The sequence below is a fragment of the Homo sapiens genome, chromosome 11, assembly GCF_000001405.40.
Source record: "Homo sapiens chromosome 11, GRCh38.p14 Primary Assembly".
NCBI lineage: Eukaryota > Metazoa > Chordata > Mammalia > Primates > Hominidae > Homo > Homo sapiens.
The window spans coordinates 28,731,167-28,737,883 of record NC_000011.10 but is presented as its reverse complement, the minus strand read 5'-3'; the positions used below and the strand labels follow the sequence as shown (position 1 = coordinate 28,737,883).

At 37.8% G+C, this 6,717-nt stretch overlaps 1 annotated feature.

Moving 5' to 3' along the window:
- Positions 917 to 1,071: a silencer, noted in NCBI's record as "fragment chr11:28758360-28758514 (GRCh37/hg19 assembly coordinates)". NCBI's record gives its function as "represses an EF-1alpha promoter that drives an FKBP-Casp9 reporter gene in an ReSE screen in HepG2 liver carcinoma cells {active_cell/tissue: HepG2}" and the evidence as "EXISTENCE:reporter gene assay evidence [ECO:0000049][PMID:32094911]".

The following is a 6,717-nucleotide window of genomic DNA, read 5'->3' as shown; positions in this document are numbered from 1 at the left end:
CATTTTCATGCTAATCAAATGGACATTTACAAAAAGAGAAAAAGAGAGAGAGGGAAAAATATAGGATGTGGTCATTATGAAAGCTTATAAAGATGAGAGAGTCCTGGCAAGGCTGAAGCCATCCAGATAATCATCACAGAGGAGCATCATTTGAGACAGCTTTTAACAAAGGGTTAAAGGTATGTAGGTTAGAGATATCTAGCACATAACAAGAAGTCAAGCAATATATATTAAATGAATAATTAAATATATGAATGAATAAATGAGTGGATGGATGGATTTCTTGAATGTCTGTTATGTGCCAGGCATTAAGCTAGGTCTTGGACACATAACATAAATAAATTAGACATGTTTGCTAATCTTAAGAAGATGCTGCTATAAAGGAAACATAAATGAAGGTCAGAAAAGACAATGTGATACGATAAAGTCCAGTACTTTTTGGAGGAGGGTGCAAACAGGCTTTTCAGAGGAAGTATCATTTGAGGTTGGTTTTGAAGTGTGAATAGAATTTAAGTAAAGATGACAGCATTTGGAAGGAAATGGAGATCTGAAACTGTTTGCTATTAGTACTAGAACATAATGGGAAAGCATAGCAAATGAGGCCAGAGCCAGGGAGTAGACTTGCTTTTCTAAGGAAAAGCACCTTCATCCTGAAGATAAATTCAAACTTGATAAGAATCACCAAATGTTTTATTAAAAAGCAGATTCCCAGCCTCTACCTCCCAAGACTCTCATTCAGAAGATGTATTGGGATCTCCATTGTTTATTCATGTCCTAGGGAATTATTACTCTTGGGCAAGTTTAGAAAATAATACTAGAGGTAATATCCAGGCCTGGCACAGTGGCTCAAGCCTATAATCCCAGCACTTTGGGAGGCCGAGGTGGGCAGATCACTTGAGGTCAGGAGTTTGCGACCAGCCTGACCAACATGGTGAAACCTCATCTCTACTAAAAATACAAAAATTAGCCAGGCGTGGTGGCACGTGCCTGTAATCCCAGCTACTCGGGAGGCTGAGGCAGGAGAATTGCTTGAACCCAGGAGGCGGAGGTTGCAGTGAGCTGAGATAGTGCCACTGCACTCCAGCCTGGGAGACAGAGCAAGACTCCATCAAAAAAAAAAAAAAAAAAAAAAAGAATAAGAAGAAGTAATATCCAGTGACAGTGAGGGGTTTTAAGCTGTAAAAAGGTATAATTGGTCCTGAAATTTTAGTCATTTTTTTAACATTCGTTAGATGAAGGTTGAAGCAGGAAAGTATTACAATGTCACTTAGTCACTTATAAACAAACATAACAGCTTTTTTATATCTAGCTAAATTCTTCTTTCTTTTTTTGTTTCATTTTCATTTCTTTCTTCTTGCTTAACCCTAGTGCAGATAAACCAATACCCAGTCCTTCATGACTCTGCCTCTGTTTTCTGAAGCCTTGGCTCTAAGTACTCTTTGCTTTAGCTTAGGCTTTGGTCTCCTTAGTTCTTTCCCACATTTACCCCCCACTAGAAGATGCAAGAGTTTATTTACAACAGTAGACCAATTTCTTAGTAATCCCTGCACCTTTTTATGGCTTGACATTCTGCTTACATACACTTCTTAAACAGCAAAACAAAAATGATGACACATAGTCAACCAATTCTGTCATGTATTCATGCAACAAATATTGATTGGTTATTACAGGCTAGGCACTATGCTAACTACTAGGAACACAACAACGAATAAATATAATAGTTTCTGTGTTTTAGAGTTCAGAGTTGGCAAGGGGAGGGGAAAAAAGAAATAAACAAAATTGCCAGAAAATGTACTTACATTTAGAATAGAGGGAAATAAAGTATTTGAGAAGCACAGAGGATAGAATCGTCTAGTGCTGATCAGTGGGGTCAAGGAAAGTTTCACAGAGAAGGTGATATTTGAATTGAATCTGGAAGGAATAATAGAAAGTTTCAAAGTATAAGTGGTGGATGAGGGGCAGAGGCAATGCCTGCACTCTTGGTGTTCTCCAGGAAAGATTTGGCTTTACCAGCTTCTTTCATTTGAATGTATCTCTGATCCTTGTTACACTTTCCCCTAGAAATGTATGACCACTTCTCCTGCCTGTTTCACAGCTTTAACTCACTAACAGTCCCCTGGGTTTAAGCCAGTAGAACTATACAAATGCGCCCAGGTTCACCTGCACACTCTATCATTATTGTGTGAGTCTTTGGAAACCAGAGCTGAAACCAGATAATTTTTACATAGTTTCAAGTTTCACCAACAACAATTCACATGATACCAGGCCCAATTCATGTATAATATAAGCAGGTGTAAAATTTCAGCCACAAGTTGCTATAGACATATGTTGGATGGGCCTTGAACTTGGCTTCACCAAAATGATTTGAGCTTCCACAGAATAAATTTTTCCCACTTGTCATCACTGCAAGTATCCTCTCCTCCAACACACACACCAACAGCCACTGGTCTAATTGTGGAAAAAACACTACCCGATTTGCACAACAAGGACAGCAGATGCACCATCTCCAAACTGACAGCCTGGTATGTTGAGGCATAACAATGGCCAGCCACAAAGCTTAGCGAAAACTAACACAACATTTTAGAATAATGGGAGATGATGAATTGAATCTGCAATGAGGACTTAATATGTGATTTTAAAAACCACTAACATATGAGAAAACTTTCCAACTTACAGCAGTATGGAAAGTAATGCAATAATATGTTTGATTAGAAAGTACTTCAGGATGTATTAATGTAAGCACTTAGCAAGTCTCTCAAACATACCATTCGGCAACGAGCATATAGATTTTTTCAAACATATCCATTTCCACTTAGGTTGTGCTCTAGCTGATTGCTTTAAATGCAGAGGAAGTTCTACGAGCTCTTTCATTTTATGTACACTAAATTCAAATCTCTTGGTCCCATTTTGCTTTTATATTTATTAATTTAAAAAAATACTAGAATCTCTGTATTTCTTCATAAGCAATGTACATTAGCCTGGTTCTGAAAGTATCTTTCCTCTTTGAATGTTTGTGAAACAACCATTTAACCCTATGCCCTTTCCCTCTGATTCTCTTGAGATCCTGATTTACTTTAAATTCAAAAGGGCAAAACATTCAATCAGATAATAAATCAATAGTTAACCTGGAAAGACTTATGTTTAACTAGTCTTGGCAATGTTTGAGTCCAGCTGTTCTGATACAGGGAGCAATGCTTGAGAGCCAGGTAGAAAAACAGAGAATGCAAGATTCGTGGGGTGTGTCAGGTAGGGGGATAGAGAAAGGGTTGTTTCCTTAAATAAATATGATGGGAAAGCCCAACCTCAGAGAGAAACTGCAGAAGTTTTATCAAGACTGAGTACTATATGTGAATTTTGAAAAATAGGAAGAAAGCCAAACTGAAAATGAGAAAAGGTTGCAATTGTAAAATTAAACAGGTTTATCATCAGTGAGCAGAGCCTCATCCGAAAATGAACGAGGGGGTCCTGTCTCACACTCGCTGCAATCTGACCATTAGTGAAATGCACACAGAGAAGAAAAGGTAACCCAGACGGAGGCAGTGCAACCCTGCTTGAGCCAGCCTGAGGTGGCAAAGGAGAAGGTCATTACTTCCCAGTCACTCACTTGGGTGTACACCCAAATCACCTGGGGTGGTTTTTGTAAAACTACACATGCTTCGATCAGTCATCTAAGAATCTATTTCTGAACTGTAAAATACAGATTTCCCCAACACTCCTTAACACAAGAATCTGTATCTTTTTCCCAACACCCACAAAAAATCTCTCACTAGCCATGGTTGACAGTGAATCTTAAACTTCTGCCTTCACTACATCCACAATTTTCATTAATAGCCACTGCAGTCTTCCTACAGATTCATACTAGTCCCTGGATGTGCTGAAAATACCTAAACCTTTACTTCTAGGTATGTTAGTTTCCTAGAGCTTCCATAACAAAGTACCACAAACTGAATGGCTTAGAATGACAGAAATTTATTGTCTCAAAGCTCTGTAGGCTGGAAGCCCAAGAACAAGATGTTGGTAGGGTTGGATCCTTCTGAGGGCTACAAGAGAGAATCTGCTCCATTCCTTTCTCTGAGCTTTCATTTATTTTCTAGCAATATTTGTCATTCCTTGGTTTGTGGCAGCATCACTTCAATCTTCACATGGCATTCTCCCTGTGTTTCTTTCTGTGTCCAAATATCCACTTTCCATAAGGATGCAGTCATATTGGAGTAAGACTCCCACTACTGACTTCATCTTTACTTGGTCATCTGCAAAGAACTTATTTCCAAATAAGGAAATAAGGCAGAGCTACTACAGATGTAAGATTCAACATCTTTTGGAGGGATACAATTCAACCCATAACACTAGATTCCTTCATTCATTCAAGCAACAACAAGTATTGATGGATCAGAGTCTATGAGCCAGGGACTCTAAGGGACTCATCCTAGGCAATGGATGTACCAAAATTTACAAGAGAACTTCAAGATGACTGAATTTTTCTATAATATGTGATATCAGTATATAAGAATAGTGAACACATTGCAATCCTGGGAAATAGAAGTACCTCATTAATTCATTCATCTCTCGATAATTTCTGTTATGCAGAGTATAGTGTTAGGAGTCATATATGAAGAGATAAAACATAGTTCCTGCCCTCAGGATGCTTATTTTTTAGCAAGACACACACACACACACACACACACACACACACACAAACTATTAATTTTGAAATACAGACTAGACGAGAAGAATGTATATTATGAGAAAACAAAGGAGGATCCTCTAAGTGAAGCAGGGAGAGTCAGGAACTGCTTTTATGGGGAGAGAATACTTGATATGTGTCTTAAAAGACATGTAGAGTTTGGGCCGAGGGCCAAGAGATGAAGGGTGGTTTCGGGCATAGAAAAGAGCATGTGTAAAAGCAGGGAGACCAAAAAAAGCATAAAATGTTTGGAAAATTGTAAGCAAATCAGTGAGTTGAGGAAAGGAGAAGTATGGACATGAAAATGTGACAGGAAAAAAGGTTCTGAATAGTGCTTGGGGTCTGGGTTTCCTCCAGGAGTTGGTGGAGCCAAAAGACGGGAGCCATGGGGTTGGGTATGTGTTTCAAGAAACTTATTCTGAGAACAGTGTGGATAATAGGATGGAAGGCAAGGCAGGAGGCAGGAAGGCTACTGTAATAATAGTCCACGGAAGAACAATGAGAACCTGAACTAAGGCAGTCGTAGTAGGGCAAATATGAGAAAAAGAGTTGAGTTTCATGAGATATGGTGGGGTGGGAGGAATCAAATTTACAGTGACCAATTAAATATGAGGGTGAGGAGGAGGAAAAGTATGAACCAAGAACACATGTTATCAGAAAAGTTAAATTTTGTTCCCTATTTATGGATGCTTCCAATACTTGCTCTCTGCCTGAAATGTATTTTCTTCCATGAATAAGAAAGAACTCATCCCTTAATATTCAGTCCAGCATTATGGCTGGAAAGCGTCCCAGTTCATCTCTCCCTACTATATTCTCATAGTAGTTTGTATGCTCATATTCTTGTGAACTTTGCAGATACACTCTTTGAAATAGCACATCCTTATCCCCTAGTACAGTGGTCAAATCATAGTAGATTTTCAAAAATTGTTAATTGAATAAATTAAATGTGTTTGATATTCATTCTACCTAGGCCATGTAGGTGGAATTATTGGCAATTTAGACAGTTTTTCATCAAAAGAAATTGGTAAATAAATCAAACTCTGTTGCTGGAAAAGTTAAGCTACAGTTTTCTGGAAATTTTGATAATTCTAGATCACTGTAGGATAGCCTTCTCTTGTATTTGATAGAACTTAATTAGTGTTAGTACATAGTTATTACTTAGTATCAACACTTTAACACTGAAAGTAATTATAACAAGACTTCTGGCTCCCAGTCCTTTAGTCTTTATGCTTTATCAAGTTGGAATGCAATAGTATTTTACTCGTTTTGCAAATGGAAATGGGTTGAACGCACCCATGTAAAGTACAGCAACAGCAGCACCATTCTCCTTCCTTTTATTGTTTATTTTCCTAGCACACCACCCACAGGAAAGTGGCTTCATCCATGTCCCCACATTTCCACTTCAGTTGGGCTTTTAATGTGTTAATGAAGTTAGTTAGTTGTTAAAGAAACTAAAACATTTTTCCAATGGTTAATGCTGGAAGCAATTCTTTGAACTTTGGTTCCAAAGGCATTACAGGAATCTATGAATGAAATGAAAATGTTTGGAAACCCAAGTTTCTTTAATAGGCCAAGCAATCATCAGTAAATTGCAGACTTTACAGGTATCATTTTCAGTAAGGGTCAGGAAAATTCATTCATTAGAATTACGGGAGATAAAAATTTAAACGTCTCTGTAATATTTATAGGAAAAGTGTCATCACTATAAAGCGGCCTTAAATCACATTCATTCATTCATTATTAAGCACTCCTCTACATTTCTGAGTGAAGTTTCTAATGGGATGAAATCTCCTCAGCTGCAATAACATCATGACTATCTATTTATAGCCAAGTTGTCTTTGGTTGTGGAAGTGCCCGTTTAGATTGAGTATTAAAACAGGTTTTCCCTTCAATAGCAGACATCTAACTTTAAATGAATGTAAACTATTACTTAGTAAACAGGAGAGTTCACTAAAATTGGAAACACCTACTATTTATCATTATAAAATGCATGACATGAAAGTATGGTACCACAGGTTTTCTAAAGTCTGGGC